The following is an 18,464-nucleotide window of genomic DNA, read 5'->3' on the forward strand; positions in this document are numbered from 1 at the left end:
CATCAGCGTTACGGTGGAAAATAGCAGAAACATGGCTGGAGCCCTCCAGCTGCCCCGCCCCCTCCCCAGTCTACACCGGGGCTCCCAGCGTAGGAGCCAGCACCCAACTCAGCACAGCTTGATGCCCAAGCTCTGCTTCCCCATGGGGGAGACAATTCGCCTGAGAAATATTAACGCCACCTACTTTACAACAGAATGACGATTTAAATGCTGCATGGGTCCAAGGCACAGGGCCTTTATTCTAGATCTCCATCCCCCTCCCTCCAGGGCTCGCATGCTATTCCTGACTCCTAGCAACCCAAAAGGTACAGCCCCAGCGGCACCATAGACGAACGAAACTGTCTGTCCTGTGTCGGGCCCAGTCCACCGACCTGGCTGCAGCCACCTCCTCCTGTGCTGCCCCAGGTGTGTCCTCCTCGTTGGGGGAGAATCGCTCCAAGTCAAGGGTAGACATGGAGCTGTAGTCTCTAAATATGGGAGCCTAGAGGAGTAGAGGAACTCACCTTTAGATCCATGAGAATGCGAGGACAATAGCAGATCCAACTTCGTTCTTCAGCATTCACCTAACATTCGATTTAATTCAACAGATATTTATCATGTGCTTAGGACGTGTCAGGCACTGTTCCTGGGCATTGGGGTACGGGGATGAACAAGCTCTGAATATCTGCCTCTGCAGAGCTTCTAATGTAGTCACATTTCTCTTTCATGGGCATTGATCCCCCAGAGCACGCCACGTCAGCAGGCTCTCACTTGCTATGCCATTCACATTCTGCCTAATCTTCATTGTGCAAAACAGAGAGAGATTGAGTCCAGCCTGGGAGTGACAGTGCCTAATGGGAGAGGCACTGCCACCAGCACAGGACTCATCCCCATGAGGCATGTTGATTTTCCTTTCGTCTTTCTACACATTTCCCCTCTCTCAGTTTTCTTTTCTCTTTCCATACTATTTCCTCTTTGTCTTTCTTCCATCCTCTTTTCTTTCCTGCTCGCCCTTGGGTTCATGGCTCAGCACTATTATTGGCACTGCTGACCCGGCAAAGCACATCCACCTCTGCGATGTTTTCCAAGAGCAGGGGATCAGAGGGATGTCCTTCTGCTGGGGCCAGTGCCTGAGGAAGACCCTGTTGGCCATGGATGGGAACTGATTCTGGGCTTACACCACAGCTCCAAAGGAAAGGGGCCGGGGATGTGTCTACACAGGCCTGACTGACCTGGCAAGAAAGTGACATGCGCACTGACTGGCCCAGAGGAACTCTGATAAGAGGAGATGCCAGGGCTGAAGCTCCTCCCAAATGCTTTCTCCAGGCTCTGTGTGACAACAACTGCCCTTCAGGCTCACTCCACCTCTCATCCGCTGTCCACAGCTCAGGGCCCCAGAGGCTACCATACCCACAGGGGACACTCCTCCAAGATCCTGGGGATGAGGATGAAAATGTCAGCCTCCCCGCCCACGGTCAATGAGGGTCAACATTAAATCAGAACTTTAACTTTGCAGTAGCAGCCACTGGGAGCAATTTTCTAGAAATGTGCTGCTGACCACATTAGCATATCCCAAACTAAATGTAAATGCACATACGCTGAGTTACAGTCTTGGAAACTGAAATCTGTTTTGAGCTATAGAAAATGAAAAAGTGATGTGTGCAAGGAATCTATGCAAAGGAGCCTCAAAGAGGAAGAATGAGTCAGGCTTGCCCCACATAACCAGAGACCATGGCCAGCACCCAAGGGCCAGGCTCTGCCAAGCCAGACAAAGGTCCTTCAGCCAGTGACACTCCAAAATCTCTCAAAAGCGATCCAGAAACCAAGTGTGGTGGTACACACTGTAGGCTCAGCTACTCAGGAGGCTGGGATGGGAATTGGAGGCCACAGTGTACCATGATCACACCTGTGAATGACCACTTCACTCCAGCCTGAGCAACATACTGAGACCCCATCTCTAACAACAACAACAACAACAAAGTGACCCAGGGGTTTGAATCACTAAAAAAAACTAAGGGTATTTTGTGTCCATTTCCTTTTCTTTTTTCTTTTTTTTTTTTAAAGAAGGCTGGAGTGCAGTGATGTGATCACAGCTCACTGCAGTCTCAACCTCCCAGGCTCTCAAGCAATCCTTCTACCTCAGTTTCCTTAGTAGCTAGGACTACAGGCATGGGCCAGCACACCTAGTTAATTTTTTTTATTTTTTTATTTTTATTTTTGAGATGGAATCTCTCTCTGTTGCCCAGGCTGGAGTGCAGTGGCATGATCTCGGCTCACTGCGACCTCAGCCTCCCGGGTTCAAGCGATTCTCCTGCCTCAGCCTCCTGAGTAGCTGGGACTACAGGTGCCTGCCACCACGCCTGGCTAATTTTTTGTATTTTTAGTAGAGATGGGGTTTCACCGTGTTAGCCAGGATGGTCTCGATCTCCTGACCTCGTGATCCACCCACCTCGGCCTCCCAAAGTGCTGAGATTACAGGCATGAGCCACCTCACCTGGCCAATTTTTTTATTTTTATTTTTTGTAAAGCTGGACTCTCACTATGTTGTCCAGGCTGGTCTTGAACTCCTGGGCTCAAGCAATCCTCCTACCCCAGTCTCCCAAAGTGCTGGGATCTCAGGCATGAGCCGCCGTGCCCAGCCCTATTTCTGTTTTTTAACTCAAATAAATTGATTATTTAAATCATCCGCCTCTGAAACAGAACTGTTTAAGAATGTCCTGGTTGTGTGACTGTTTGCAGAAACGAGTGAGCGTACTTGTGACTCAACCACTCACTCCCTGTGACCGTCAGTGGATTTGACCATATACAGTCTTTCATTAAGTTAGTCTTTGTCATATATTGCTTATTTTACTTCCACGGTGGAGCACTGGCTGAAGACAAGAAGCATAAGAACCCTGATGATGAAATACAGGAACTTCACAACAAGCATAAAATGAGCCGCGCACCATGCCTTATGCCTGTAATCTCAGCACTTTGAAAGGCTGAAGTTGGGGGATTGCTTGAGGCCAGAAGTTTGAGACCAGCCTGGGCAACATACTGAGACCCCATCTCTACAAAAAAATTAAAAATAAACTAGCCAGACTGGGCAGCAGAGTGAGATCCTGTTTCTAAAAAAATAAAAATAAATAAATAAATAAAATGGTAATAATTCAGCAAATTTATCTGAAGATTATTTTCACCAGACCCAGAGTTTTTGTACTTCAAAAATGTAAGTTGAAAGAAAAAAATGTATATATTGGTGATTCTATCTAATTTGGCTTTTTATTTATTGGTGACAAAAAAAATCCATATACTATAATGTATTATTTGAAAAGAACAGCTGAAATCTCCTGTCTGATTATGTCCGTTAGAAATAAAATGTCAGGTGGTTCACGCCTGTAATCCCAACACTTTGGGAGGCCAAGGTGGGCGGATCACGAGGTCAGGAGTTGGTTGAAACCCCATCTCAACCAAAATTACAAAAATTAGCCTGGCGTGGTGGATCATGCCTGTAATCCCAGCTACTCGGGAGGCTGAGGCAGGAGAATCGCTTGAACCCAGGAGGGGGAGTTCAAGTGATTTCTTACAGTGAGCCAAGCTCGCACCACTGCACTCCAGCCTGGGTGACAGAGTGAGACTTGGTCTCAAGAAAAATAAAATGTCAGAAATTATAAAAATAGACATATTTAAGTCTCAAATATAAGCATTCCAAATGTCAGGAAAATTAAAACAGTTGCGGATTTTCATGTGTTATAACATATATATGTTACATGTTTTTATATGCTATAACATTATAAAATATATACATTTAGTAAAAAAATCAAACTTTTTTGCTTTTTTTACTTTATTTTTACTTTTTGCCTTTTTTACTTTATAAATCACATTTTTCTTACATATCTCAAATCCACTTAGTGATATGTGTCACTTTAGAGGGAAAAAAGACAAATATCGTGAATATTTTAAAGACTGTCCAAAAATACACTTTCAATACATGAATTAAGAATACACTATTCTTGGCCAGGCATGGTGGCTCATGCCTGTAATCCCAACACTTTGAGATGCCGAGGTGGGAGAATTGCTTGAGCCCAGGAATTCAAGACCAGTCTGAACAACGTAGTGAGACCCTGTCTCTACAAAAAATTTTAAAAATTAGCCGGACATGGTGGCACATGTGTACAGTCCCAGCTACTCAGGAGGCTGAAGTGGGAGGATCGCCTGAGCCTAGGAGTTTGAGGCTGCAGTAAGCTGTGATTGCACCACTGCACTCCAGCCTGGGCAACAGAGTAAGGCCGTGTCTCAAAAGAAACATTTTTTTTTTTTTTTGGTAGATCAGACGGGGTCTTGCTATATTGCTCAGGCTGCCTCAAAAAAAAAAAAAAAAAAAAAAACTCTATAAAATGTTCTACTTAAAATCACTTATTTATCATATATCACTCAAAAGGGAAAAGCATGTTTCTATTTACAGAAAGGTTTAAAAAGTTATACAAGTCAAAATATGGAGAAAACGAACTCCATCGGGATCTGTTGGATCTAATTTCAATTTTTGAGGGTTTTTTTTTGAGAAGTTCTATTGGTAAGGATTCGTATTACTTGATTTTTTTATTTCTTAAAGGGTTTCCAAAGGAAAAAAGTAATTACTTATTTTTCCTAAAAAAATAAGACTCACTCTATATTGCAATTACCATATGCACCCACTGGACCCTTTTATACATCTAAGTTACATCTGAGGAGCTTAGGGTTCTTATTTTTTCCATATCTTGAAACAGTTTTGCTATTTCATCATTACTCATGAATTATTCCAAACTACACTTTTAGAAAAAGAAATGGCAGAATGACCTAGATTAGAAGAATGATGCGATCGTGAGATTAATCATTACACTTTCATCATTCTCAGTTTTCCTATTGCCTTGGCAGAAGTATGGCATCATCTTTGAGAAGGTATGAAGAGGACTAGAGACACCTTCTCTGTAGCCTGCTTTTTGCTTGCACTGAATGCAGTTGAAAATTCAGAATTTTTTACTTTCAGCCTATAATGGCAAAGAGGAAAAAAAGTATAGGAAGATGTTTCACAACTGTTAGATGAATTCGAAGGAGAAAGCCAAAAGATAGCCGGTCTCTAGATACCAATGACGATGATGAAATTGACCGTGTAAGTGAAATCTCAGACTGTACATCTACAGATGGCAATATCCTCGACACATTTCTGAGACTCAAAATTTGATGGATAAATGATATATTTCCATAGACCTAAAGGGAATATGGTGTTCTCATCCAGTTAGCCATTCCACCAGAAGGACTTTATTATGCAATATTCTGTCAACAGGACCTGGACTATGTCATTTGCTAAAAAGATGCCTGGCAGTGTTTTTTCAACTTTTATGATGTTTGTACACTGAGATTTACTTGGGTTTTGTGTTTGTTTGTTTGTTTGTTTGTTTGCTTGCTTGCTTGCTTGTATGCTTTTGTGTTAGAGACAGAGTCTCACTCTGTCACCCAGGCTGGAGTACAGTGGTGCAATCATGGCTCACTGAGACCTCAAACTCCTGGGCCCAAGAGATCTTCCTGCCTCATCCTCCTTTGTAGCTGGAACTTACAGGCATGAGCCATCACACTCAGCTAATTTCTTTCTTTTTTTTTTGGGTAGAGACAGGGTCTCTCTATAGTGCCTGGGCTGGTCTCGAACTCCTGGCCTCAAGTGATCCTCCCACCTCAGCCTCCCAATGTGCTATGACTACAGGCATGAGCCAGTGCACCCAGCCTGAAATTTCCTTGATATGTTTTGTTAAATGAACAGATGTTGAAGGCAAGTGTGTATACAAAGGTCACTGGAAGGAAATAAAAAACTTAGTGGCTTGATCGTCTTAAACGGTGTTTACAAATCTAAAAACGAAAATGCTCTGCAATTATGAAGCAAAGAAGATGGTCATCCTCTCTTTAACAAAACTGTTTTTGAAGGCTTCAAATTTGTTTTATGTATTTTGACAATGCAAGTGCAAGAAGAGGCAGAAGCAATGGTAAGTGTGAAATTTAATTAGAGATGTGTTTGAAATCTGAATCAGTATATCTAAGATGGATGTTCCAGATTCATGCATGACAGCTGATGAGAAGTTAGTTGCCTTTGGAGAGTATTGTTCACTTTGAGTTATATACACCTTCAAAATCAAGAAAACATAGAATTTTAAAAACTGGACTTGGTGTGTTTAAATTCTGGTGTCTGAATTTCTAGCAGAGTTTTTTTTTTTTCACTCTCCTTTCATTTTTATTTCTACAAACTATATGTAAAATGACTGAAAAATATTTTATAGGGTCCATTGCATCTAGATGGTAAAGGGAAATGACTGTTTTCTTTCTGATAAACTGAGGGTTATATAAGCAGAAATTTCCCAAAATGTATTCTGCAGAATATTGTGGTCAAATATGTTTGAGCAATGTTGACTAAAACAGAACAAAATTTTTTTTAACTGCAGGACTTCTCTAAACCTTTAACATACAAGATGTCCAAAATTGGTTTGAACATGGAATCTTTGGGGGCAGGATATTACACAGGACTGGAGACTCCTATAGAACACTTTAAACACGTCTGGAAGGTAAAGAGACAGAAAGCCAAACCATATTACTAGTTAGCTAAGATTAAATTTATGGAGGCTTTTCCCCTTTTTTGGGAAAAAATTAAAGCATTAGAAAACCTGCTCCCTGAGAGAAGCCCTACCAGAGGACCAGGGTGAGAGGGAAGAGAACGGGCTATGATCCCTAAGGGTGTCTGAGGCGGCTCTACTTTAAAAGATAGTTGCAGAGTGAGTCCTTTATTCTCCAAGAGGACTCAAAGAGGAATTACTTTATTAGCTTTCTTTCTTTTTTTTTTTTTCTTTTTTCTTTTTTTTTTTTTTTTGAGACACAGTCTTGCTCTATCGTCCAGGCTGGAGTATAATGGCGCGATCTCAGCTCACCGCAACCTCTGCCTCCCAGGTTCAAGTGATTATCCTGCCTCAGCCTCCCGAGTAGCTGGGACTACAGATGCATGCCACCATGCCCTGCTAATTGTCGTATTTTTAGTAAAGACAGGGTTTCACTATGTTGGCCAATCTGGTCTTGAACTCCTGACCCTGTGATCCACCCGCCTTGGCCTCCCTTTTGGGGATTATAGCTGTGAGCCACCACGCCCAGCCGCTTTCTTTCTAAGAGAAGGAACAAGAAGTAGCCCATTCTCCTAGGGACAGGGGATGTAATCAGACCCTCAGCATGTAAAGGGTTTAGTAGGGCAGGTTGCTACTCACGCCTATAATCCCAACACTTTGGGACGCCGCAGTGGGCAGATCACTTGAGTCAAGGAGTTTGAAACCAGCCTGGGCAACATGCTGAAATCCTGTCTCTACAAAAAAATATAAAAATTAACCAGGCATGGTGGCACACACGCCTACAGTCCCAGCTACCCCAGAGGCCGAGGTGAGAGGATCGCTGGACCCTAGGGGTCAGAGGTTGCAGTGAGCCCAGATCGTGCCACTGCACTCAAGCCTGCATGACAGAGCAGTATCCTGTCTCTAAATAAATAAATAGGGTTTAATAGAAAAACTCGCTGAGCCCTACCAAATCCCCAAGGGTGAAAGGTGGGGGACAGTGGGTGGTGGGAAGAAAGGAAAGCAGTGGTTCTAGATCCTGGACACAGAAATGATTTTAAAAATTATTTTTTAATTTTTTTAATTGACAAATAATAACTGCACATATTTGTAGCGATGGGGTACATAGTGATGTTTCCATACATACAACGTATAGTGATCAAGTCAGTGTAATTAGCATATCCATCATCTCAAACATTCATCATTTCCTTGTGTTGGGAACATTCAATATCCTCCTTCTAGCTGCCGGAAAGCAGGTAGTATTTTATTGTTAACTATAGTCATTCTACACTGATCTAGAGTGCTAGAGCTTAGTCCTGGGCTCCTGCCACCTGGATGTTGCTGAGATGAATGAACAGACCACATATGAGACTAAGAATGCCTTCCCACAAGGTTCTGAAACAGGGATCCAGCCCTGGGCTTGACCTCCCTCACCTCTTCCAGCCACCAGCTCCATCCACCAGCCCTGGCGGCAGCCGGTGCTCCTGCTCTGCCTCCTCCTAGGTCACAAGAGAAGAACTGCCCCTGGCCTGTCGAGGGCTGACAACTCCACTCGTTCCCAGAATCACATCACCACGCTCCTCATGGACACCTCTCCTGCCGCTGTCCTCTCTCCCACATCCCTCTCCAGCACCCGGGCCATTTTCATGCTTCTTTCCAGAGGGAAACTCTCCAAAGAGTTGTGCAGACACCATCACAACCTCCTTGCCACCCATTCTCTCTTCCAATAGCCCCAGTCTAGCTCTTCCTTCACCTCTTCCTAAAATAGTTTCCCAAAGACCTACGTTGAGCCAACGCTGATGCTCACACCACTGTCTTTGTCTCGCTCGAGCCCTCAACAGCATCAGAGTTGATCATCTCGTCTTAGAGATACTTCCTTCGGGTGACTTGCCACCCACCTCTATCTGGTTTTTCTCCTCCCTCCTCCCCATGCTTTCTCAGGATCCTTTGTCTCTTCCGGACCTCTACCTATCACTCAAATGCCCCAGAGCTCTGATATTAGCTCTTCTCTCTTCCACATCTACTCTCTCATCTAGTCCCGAGACTTTAAATGTCACCTATATGTAGATGACTTTCAAATGTTATCCCTGTGTCTGTTTATCCCTGAAGCCCTAGACTGGTCTAGCCCAACTGCCCAGCTCAGCATCTCCATTTAGATTTCAAATACGCAGCTCCAACTTCGCATGACCAAAAAGCGTCTCAATCCCAACTTAGCTCCCTAAGCCTCCTCATCTCAATAAATCATGCCAGCAGCATAGGCCAGAAACCTAAGAGTCAGATTTAACTCCTCTTTCTCATCTCCCAGTCATCCCCCAACATCCAGTCCAAGAGTAAAATCCACAGGGTCTACCTTCCTAGCACATCCTGAAACTGAAAGCTTTTCATCATCTCCCCAGACACTCCTCCAGTCTGAGCAGCAGCATCTCCGACTCGGACCCCTGCCGCATCCAGTCCTAACAGGCCTCCCTGCCACCATCGGTCTTGGCTCCTAGGGTTCACCTCCAGACCACAGCCAGAGTGAGTTTTCTATAGCACTGATTAGATCACATCACTCTTGTATTTGTTTCTTGTGGCTGTCATAACAAAGTACCACAAACCGGGAGGTGAAACAAGAGAAATGTATTCTCAGCATTCGGGAGGCCAGAAGTTCAAGATCAAGATGGCAGCAGGATCCGTTTCTTCTGGAGGCTCCAAGGGAGAACCCATTTCCTGCCTCTCTCCTAGCTTTTGGTGGTTGCTGGGAATCTTTGCCACTCTTTGGCTTGTATCGCCCCAACCCCTACCTCCATCTCCACATTACCCTCTTCTCTGTGTGACTCATTTTCTGTTTCTTACAAAGACATTCTTATTGGATTCAGAGCCCACCTTGATCCAGGATGGATCTTCATCCTTGCCTTCATTACTTCTGCAAATAACCTATTTGCAAATAAGGTCACATTCAGAGTTTCCCAGTGGGCGTGAATTTTGGAGGTCACTATTCAACCCACTCTAACTCCCCCACTTAAAACTTCCCAGTGATTTCCTGTTGTCACAAGAATAAAATCCAAATCCCCATCAGGTCCTGGGGATCTAGCATCTGCCTAGTCCTTCGACCTCATTTCCTTCCACCCTGCTTTCGTTCACCACACTCCAGCTACACTGGCTTCTTTCTCTCCCTTGAGCATGCCAAGGTATTCCCACCTCCAACCCTTTGCACTTGCTATTCCTTCCTCTTGGAACACCATTTCCCCAGACTTGCACATGGCTGCCTCTTCATCATTCAGATCAAAACAAAAAATGCCAGGTCAAGAGAATTTTTCTGACTGTTCTGTTAGCTAAATCTACATATAAATCTACATAGCTAAAGCAACCCCCACTGTTAGTCACTACCTCATTACACTACTTTATCTCCTTTGTGGCAAATAACAGTATCTTAAATCACTGGGTTTATTTGTTGATGAACTTACTAGCTACACCCATAAGAAAGTAAGTGCCTTGCGTGCAGGGCTTTCTAACTGGCTTAGAGCCCTACTATTCACACAGTAGGTGCTTGTGGAAGAAATTTTGGACTGGCCCATTCAAAATCCATGGCATCTGGAGTGCAACTACCGTCACAACGGAAAGTTGCCTTCCTGAAATGCAGAAGCTGGAATGCTAAAAACCACATTTCCCAGGCACCCCTGCAACCAAAGTCCCAGTTGTAATTTAAATTCCTCAAATAACAGGTAGTCATGCAAGACTTGAATTTCGAACTGGGTTCAGAGGAGACAGAAGCCTTGGATGTGAGGCATCTGTTTGGGGGGCACAGATTGTAGCAGCTGTATGGCAGCTTTGCAGTGGGTGGCCAGCTTCCTGGTGGTAGCAGGAGCAGCAGCTCTTAGTGGGCTCACCCATGAACATTCAGCCTAGAACTAGATACCTGTGATGTCATTTAGGGACCACCGAGATAATCCAGAAGAATCTCCCCATCTTAAAATTCTTATCACATCTGCAAAATCCTTTTTTTTTTTTTTTTTTCGAGACAGAGCCTCACTCTGTTGCCCAGGCTGCTGGAGTGCAATGGCACCATGTCAGCTCACTGCAATCTCTACCTCCTGGGCTCAAGTGATCCTCCTGCATCAGCCTCTCAAGTAGTTAGGATTACAGGCATTCATCACCATGCCCACCTAACTTTTTGCATTTTTAGTAGAGACGGGGTTTTGCTATGTTGGCCAGGTGGGTCTCGAACTCCTGGCCTCAAGTGATCCACCCTCCTCAGCCTCCCAAAGTGCTGGGATTACAGGCATAAGTCACCTCACCCAGCCCCGCAAAATTCCTTTTATCCAAATAAGGTAAATGTTTTAGTTTTTCCAGGCTGCTGAAACAAACTACTATAAACTGAGTGGCTTACAAACAACAGAAATTTGTTTATCACAGTTCTGGAGGCTGGGAAGTCCAAGGTCAGGACACTGGCAGAGGTGATATCTGGGTGAGACAGGAGAATAGGGAATTAGGGTAACCAAGGGTTAAGGCATAAGCAAAAGAACAGCAGGTGCAGCCAGTTCTAGGCAAGATTAGGCAGCATACAGGCCACATTTTTACTCCAGTGATAACAAGACAGAAGTTTCCATCTCAGCCTCTGATTGATAGCAGGCCAAGCTTCCACTTCAGCCTCTGATTGGTCACAGGGCAATCCTTCATAAGATGGAACCAACTGGAGACCTCTAAAGGGCACCTAGGGGTGTTACCAAATTATTTCAGCTTAATAAAAACCCGAATTGGGAGGTTCTTGAGTTGCCGGCTCGAGCCTGTTCCCACTCTGTGAAGTGTACTTTCGCTTCAATAATCTGTACTTGTGTTACTTCATTCTTTTGTTGCTTCATTTGTCTTTCATTGCTTCATTCTTTTGCTGCTTTGTTTGTGCATTTTGTTCAACTCTTTGTTCAACACCCCAAGAACCTAGACAACTCACAGTCAAGACCTTCCATCCATTAACATGGGGAGGGCTCGCTTCCTGGTTCATACATAGTGATGGACTTTCTTGCTGTGTCCTCACATGGTGGGAGGGACTAGCTCTGCACTCTCTTTTACAAGGGCACCTCCCAAAGGCCCCACCTCCTATTACCGTCACCTTGGGCATTAGGATTTCAGCAGATGAATTTGGGATAGGACACCAATATTCAGCTGTAATATTTATAGGTTCCAGGAATTAGGACCTGATATTTTGGGGGAGGCAATAATTCAGCTTACTACACTGGCCTTGACCAGAAAACTATGTTCTAAGATCTTTTCCAGCTATTCAAAGGGAATGCCACTGGCGTGCGTGCCCGTCTCCTACCCCACCTCCATTTATTTCTCCCTTGAAGGACTTACCTAATGAGGGAAAGTGAGGAGAAAGGGAAAGAGCAAACATGCAATGGCTGCAGACACTCAGCCAAGGGAACTAGGAAGTGCGTGAGCCAAGCTCTGAACAGGTGTAGACACTCAGCCGAGAGACGAAAACGAATAACCAAATTGCTGGAGCATCAGCCAAGTGTATTCAGCTGCATCTGATAGGCCAAGAGAGGGACAAGTGCTTGGCATGTTCACCTTAGCAGACAGGTGCATTGGGCCTGGTATGCCCTTGGAAAAAGATCCCTTCCCAGGTGAGGGCTGGCTTTCCAGGAAAACTCCAGCCAGCCTCGCCCATTTTTAAGGACAAGGAGGAGGAAGGAGGCAAGAGAGAGAATGAGAATAGGGAAGTAGGAACAGATGGCTTCCTGGACCCGAGAGGCTATTCACCAAAGATCAAAAGAAGTGAAGAGATGAAGGAATTATCTGGATAAATTAAGCAAAAATAAAAAGAGGCAATGGGACTTGGGGACCTTTCCAGCCAGGGCCGGTTGTCTACACTGTTAAGCTCACTAGACAATTGTTCAGACTTTTCTGCACGTGAGAGGGCAACAAAAAACTGACCCCAGGGTAGGTCTAAAAGCCCCCGATTCCTTCTCCCATCTTAGCACCCCTTTGACATTAAGTCAAGCCATTCAACCTGAGTAGAAATAAAATAAGAATATCAAAGTAGTGCCTGCATATAATTAGGCAATACTGACCAAAATAAAGTAGGTTTGATCTCTTTAATGGGTGAATAAAATGCTGACATCAGCACCATGTTGTTTGGCAAAATGTGCAATATTAATTCATTCATTTGATAACTAATAAGTACCTGGGGATATATTGATTAATCAGACATGAATCTTGCTCTCAAGCAGCTTACAGTCTAATAAAAGACATAGAGCATGCTCATAAATAATGCATTTAATCTTATCAATAAACCTGTGAGCTAGTCACCCTGACTCCCACTTTATGGATGAGAAAAACTCAAGTTTGCAGTAAACACCTTGTACAGAGTCATACAGTTAGTGGCAGAGCCTGGATTTGAGCCACATGTCTCACTGCTAAAGCCCATACTTTTTTCACATGACTCTAAGGTTTTCTGAAGAAGAAACCTTTGAATTTTCAAAGCTATATGGGATTTGAACAAGTGGAGATGAAAGAAAGGGCACTTAATGTAGAGAAAAAAGAAGAAGTACAGAGATGCCGTTGTGATATTAATCGACATGGGAAATAAGAAATAGGAAGTTTGTGGATGGAAATTATGAGCTCAACTTTTAAAAATATCTTTGAAGGACTTCTAGGACACGCAGCTAGAAAAAACAGCAGTCATTCAGAAATGCAAAACTGGAACCCCACAGAGAAGCCTAGACCGGATATTTAGATCTGGGTGTCCTCACCCAAAAAAGAATGGTGGAAGCCATGAATCCACTAAGGCACAAAGTCTATGATGAGAAGACGAAAGAAGAGAAAGGGCCAAGAACCTTTGGAAGTTCTACCGTTAGGAAGTAGAAGAAAGGAATGGAAGGTGGAAAAGAATGAGTAGGCAGGAGAGCTGAGAAAGTCAAGCATTCCAGAACACAGGGGAGGAGAAACTTGAGGGATGAAAGCCCGATGAATTCTACAAGGAGAACAAGGAGAATGAGTTTTGATTGGTAAAAGGCACTGGATGGGCAAGTAGGAGGCTTTTGGTGACGTTTAAATAAGAGCATGTGTTTGAGTAATGGAAACAACAAGGATAAATTGCCCCTTCAAAAACTCTGATAACAAAAGGGAGGAAAAAGAAGAAATAAGAACAAGGGACAGATAATTTTTATGGAATAATCCCAGGCTTGTCTGCATAATTTAAAACATTATGGGCTAGGCGTGGTGGCTCACACCTGTAATCCCAACACTTGGGGAGGCCAAGGCAGGTGGATCACAAGGTCAGAAGATCAAGATCATCCTGGCCAACATGGTGAAATGTTGGCCATTTCTTCTAAAAAATACAAAAATTAGCTGGGCATGGCAGTGTGTGCCTGTAGTCCCAGCTACTCAGGAGGCTGAGGCAGGAGAATTGCTTGAACCCGGGAGGCAGAGGCTGCAGTGGGCCGAGATGGTGCCACTGCACCCCAGCCTGGGTGAAACAGCAAGACTCCATCTCGAAAAAAAAAAAAAAAAAAAAAAAAAATATATATATATATATATATATATATATATATATATATATAGCCAGACATGGTGGCTCATGCCTGTAATTCCTGCACTTTGGGAAGTTGAGGTGGGTGAATCACTTGAGGGCAGGAGTTCGAGATCAGCCTGGCCAACATGGGGGAACCCCGTCTTTACTAAAAATGCAAAAAATTAGCAGGGTATAGTGGGGGGCACCTGTATTCCCAGCTTGGGGAGGCTGAGGCAGGAGAATTGCTTGAACCTGGGAGGTGGAGGTTGCAGTGAGCCGAGACCGTGCCACTGCACTCCAGCATGGGTGACAGAGCAAGACACCGCCACAAAAATGAAAAATAAAACATTATAAATTTCCTCTTGCATCTCTTCTTTTTTTATCTTCCCCCTTCACTCTTCTCTATGTAAACTCGTTCTGGCCAAGTGAATCAATCAAGTTGGGAACACTGATTTGAGCAGACTTGTCAATATTACTCTGGGAAAAAAAGGAGTCGATAAACTGTTCTGGCAAGAGTCGTCACCAAAAATAGTACTACATAGGCTTGTGATTGGAAAGAATAGCAAGGTTTAGGAAAACGTGTTTGTTGGTTGTATTTGTTTGTATAGGGGGTAGTTGAACGTGTTTGTAGAAGGCTCTAGTGTTAAACGAGAGATTGAAGATGCGTTATGATTCTAGACAAGTATGGAGAGAAAGGAGACCAAACCACACCTATAAGGGCTGGCTTTAGAGAGAAGAAGGGGCATTTCTTTCCCTGAAATGTCCATGAAATACAAAAGAAAGAAGGCTGACAATGATGTGAAATTAGAGGCAGACAACCATAGCAGCTAGGTAATTCATACCAATCTTCCCAATAAGGACAAACATACAAGCTGCATTAAATATAGGGATTATCTTTCTGGAAGCATCAGATAGCTAACACAAGAGTGAAGAGTTAGCAAGCCAGAGACCAGGAAAAATGGAGGCCCAGGAGGTAAACCCACAGTCTGAAGCCACTCTTCTCCTCATTGTTAGCCAAGGTCAGGTCACACAGCAGAGAGGACGAGAGTCTGAGCAACACTTTACACAGCATCATATGGTTAGAGGATCTGATACTGGGGTCCAGGGCCCACCAAGGTGAGTGTCCCAGGAAAATCCTTATCTTTGGGATGTGACCCTAAAGGACTGTACTGTAGGAGTAAATATTATCCAGAAATAGCCCGGCCTTTGCAGACATTGCAGCTCACCTTCAAATCATTTCAATCCATGAAATTGGATTAAATTAATCTCAGGGTACTCTTGGCCCCAGACTCCTGACAAAAGCAAAGTAAGTCCTCTCTGGAGGAAGATAAGATCATCCTAGGTCTCAAATAATTTCCACAATTAATTTTATAGCTATGCTCACTATAACAGCAAAAATAACTAAATAAGAGGAAAAGATAATAAACATAAAAACCAGCATAACAATGGAAAATAGAACAATGGACACTCAGAGAGTCTCCAGATATTCTAGAAACAGAAATTCTAGAAAGGAAAAAATATTATTATATTTATTATATTATATTATGTTATATTATTATATGTTATATTATATTATATATTATACATTGTATTCATTATTATATTATATTAAATTTAATAAGTCACAGGTGTGTTTTATAACAGATTAGACAAAGCTGAAGTAAATTGGATGTTGGATCAGAAGAAAATATTTGGAATGAAGCATGAAGGAATAAAAGAATGAAAAAGACAAAAAAGTTAAGAGTGATAAATAATAGAGTAAGAATACCTAGTACACATGTTATTGGAATTCTGGAAAGATAGAAGAGAAAATGGGAAAGAAGAAATATTTGAAAAGATAATAACTGAGATTTTTTCCAAAGCAAATTAAACACATAAAGCTACAGATTCAAGAAGTCCATAAAATCTCCAAGAATTATAGGGAAATACACCTAGGTACATTATAGTAAAATTGCTGAAAACCAGAGGAAAAAGAAATATCTTAAAAGAAGCCATAAAATAAAAGACAGATCACTGTCAAAGGAGCAACAATTAGACAGACAGCTGATTTCTCAAGAGAAACAAGGAAATCCAGAAAAATAATGGAATACCCTTAACATACTAAAAGTAAATAACTGCCAACCTAGAATTTTATGCCCTCCAAAAATATCCTTCAAGTATAAAGATGAATTAAAGATAACAAACCAAAACATAATTATTTGTCACTCACAATAAAGGAAATATTAAAGAATATTCTTCAGGCCCAAGGAAAATAGTCCCAGATGGAAAGTCAGAGATGCAAGAAGGAAAGTATTACATTAAAAACAGCAAGTATTAAAATATAGGTAAATATAAATTGAGAGTGACTATACAAAAAATTTAAAATGTTGTTGTATTTGAAATATGTATTTCTCGGCCGGGCACAGTGGCTCATGCCTGTAATCCCGGCACTTTGGGAGGCCGAGGCAGGCAGATCACCTGAGGTCAGGAGTTCGAGACCAGCCTAACCAACATGGAGAAACCCTGTCTCTACTAAAAATACAAAATTAACCAGGCATGGTAGCACATGCCTGTAATTCCAGCTACTCGGGAGGCTGAGGCAAGAGAATCGCTTGAACCCAGGAGTCAGAGGTTGCAGTGAGCCGAGACTGCACCATCGCACTCCAGCCTGGGCAACAAGAGCGAACTCCATCTCAAAAAAAAAAAAAAAAAAAAAAAAAAAAAAAATTGGCCAGGCGCGGTGGCTCACACCTGTAATCCCAGCACTTTTGGAGGCTGAGACGGGCTGATAACGAGGTCAGGAGATCGAGACCATCCTGGCTAACATGGTGAAACCCTGTCTCTACTAAAAATACAAAAAAAAACTAGCAGGGCATGGTGGCAGGCGCCTGTCATCCCAGCTACTCGGGAGGCTGAGGCAGGAGAATGGTGTGAACCCAGGAGGCGGAGCTTGCAGTGAGCCGAGATCACGCCACTGCACTCCAGCCTGGGCGACAGAGCGAGACTCCGCCTCAAAAAATAAATAAATTAATTAATTAAATATATATATATATATATAGCTTAAAATACATGACAATAATAATACAAAATTGGGGACAGGAGTAGAGTTAGGGTGTTTCAGAGTTCTTGAAATGCCTGAAAAGAGCATGAAGCTCTTTTCAATTAATATAAGACAAGAAGGAATACTGTGATCTTGGGGCTTATCACCAAAAGAAGAGTAAAAAGGATATATAATTTCCAAGATAATAGAGGAAGGAAATGGAATATTAAAAAAATAGTCATCCAAAATAAGCAATAAAACGAGAGAAAGATGAACATAGAGTATAACTAGGACAAATAGAAAGCACACAACAACATGGGAGATCTAAATCCAAATATATTAGGGATTAGGCCAGGCACAGTGGCTCACGCCTGTAATCTCAGCACTTGGAAGGCAAAGGCCAGCAGACTGCCTGAGCTCAGGAATTCAAAACCAGCCTGGGCAAGAGGGTGAAACCCCATCTCTACAATAAATACAAAATTAGCCAGGCATGGTGGCACACGCCTGTAGTCCCAGCTGCTTGAGAGGCTGAAGCGGGAAGATCTCTTGGGCCTAGGAGGTCGAGGCTATAGTGAGCCATGTTCACACCACTACACTTGAGCCTGGATGACAAAGCTAAATCCTGTCTCCCCACCAAAAAAGGAAATCGGGAATTACATTAAATATAAATGGACTAAATGGTCCAATTAAAAGACAAAGATTGCCAGATGATTAATGTTTTCAATTGTATAGTGTTTACAGAAGATTACATTAAGGATATAAAATGGGCTGGGCATGGTGGCTCATGCCTGTAATCCTAGCACTTTGTGAGGCTGAGGCGGGTGGATCACTTGAGGCCAGGAGTTCAAGACTAGCCTGGCCAACATGGTGAAACCCCGTCTCTACCAAAAATACAAAAATTAGTCAGGCGTGGTGGCAGGCACCTGTAATCTCAGCTACTCAGGAGGCTGAGGCAGGAGAATTGCTTGAACCCTGGAGGTGGAGGTTGCAGTGAGCTGAAATTGAGGTGAACCAAAAAAAAAAAGCTGGGGGGGATACAAAATGGATAAAAGTAAAGGTATGGAAAATATATACCATACTAATCCAAAAAAGATTGGACTATCTATATTATTAATTATCAAACAAAATAGAATTTAAAGCAGAAAGCATTACTAGAGATAAAGAAGGGGCTGTCTTAATAACAAGATTTTCAATTTCCCAGGAAGTTATAATGTTATGAAATTATTATTATTATTATTATTATTATTATTATTATTATTATTATTTGAGATGGAGTCTCACTCTGTTGCCCAGGCTGGAGTGCGGTGGCACGATCTCGGCTCCTCTACCTCCCAGGTTCAAGCGATTCTCCTGCCCCAGCCTCCCAAGTAGCTGGGATTAC

At 42.9% G+C, this 18,464-nt stretch overlaps 1 annotated feature.

The window, feature by feature from the left end:
* Positions 235 to 735: an enhancer, noted in NCBI's record as "H3K4me1 hESC enhancer chr1:235067947-235068447 (GRCh37/hg19 assembly coordinates)". NCBI's record gives its function as "activates a minimal SCP1, AML or CMV promoter by ChIP-STARR-seq in naive H9 embryonic stem cells {active_cell/tissue: H9 hESC(naive)}" and the evidence as "EXISTENCE:reporter gene assay evidence [ECO:0000049][PMID:30033119]".

The sequence above is a fragment of the Homo sapiens genome, chromosome 1, assembly GCF_000001405.40.
Source record: "Homo sapiens chromosome 1, GRCh38.p14 Primary Assembly".
Lineage (NCBI taxonomy): Eukaryota > Metazoa > Chordata > Mammalia > Primates > Hominidae > Homo > Homo sapiens.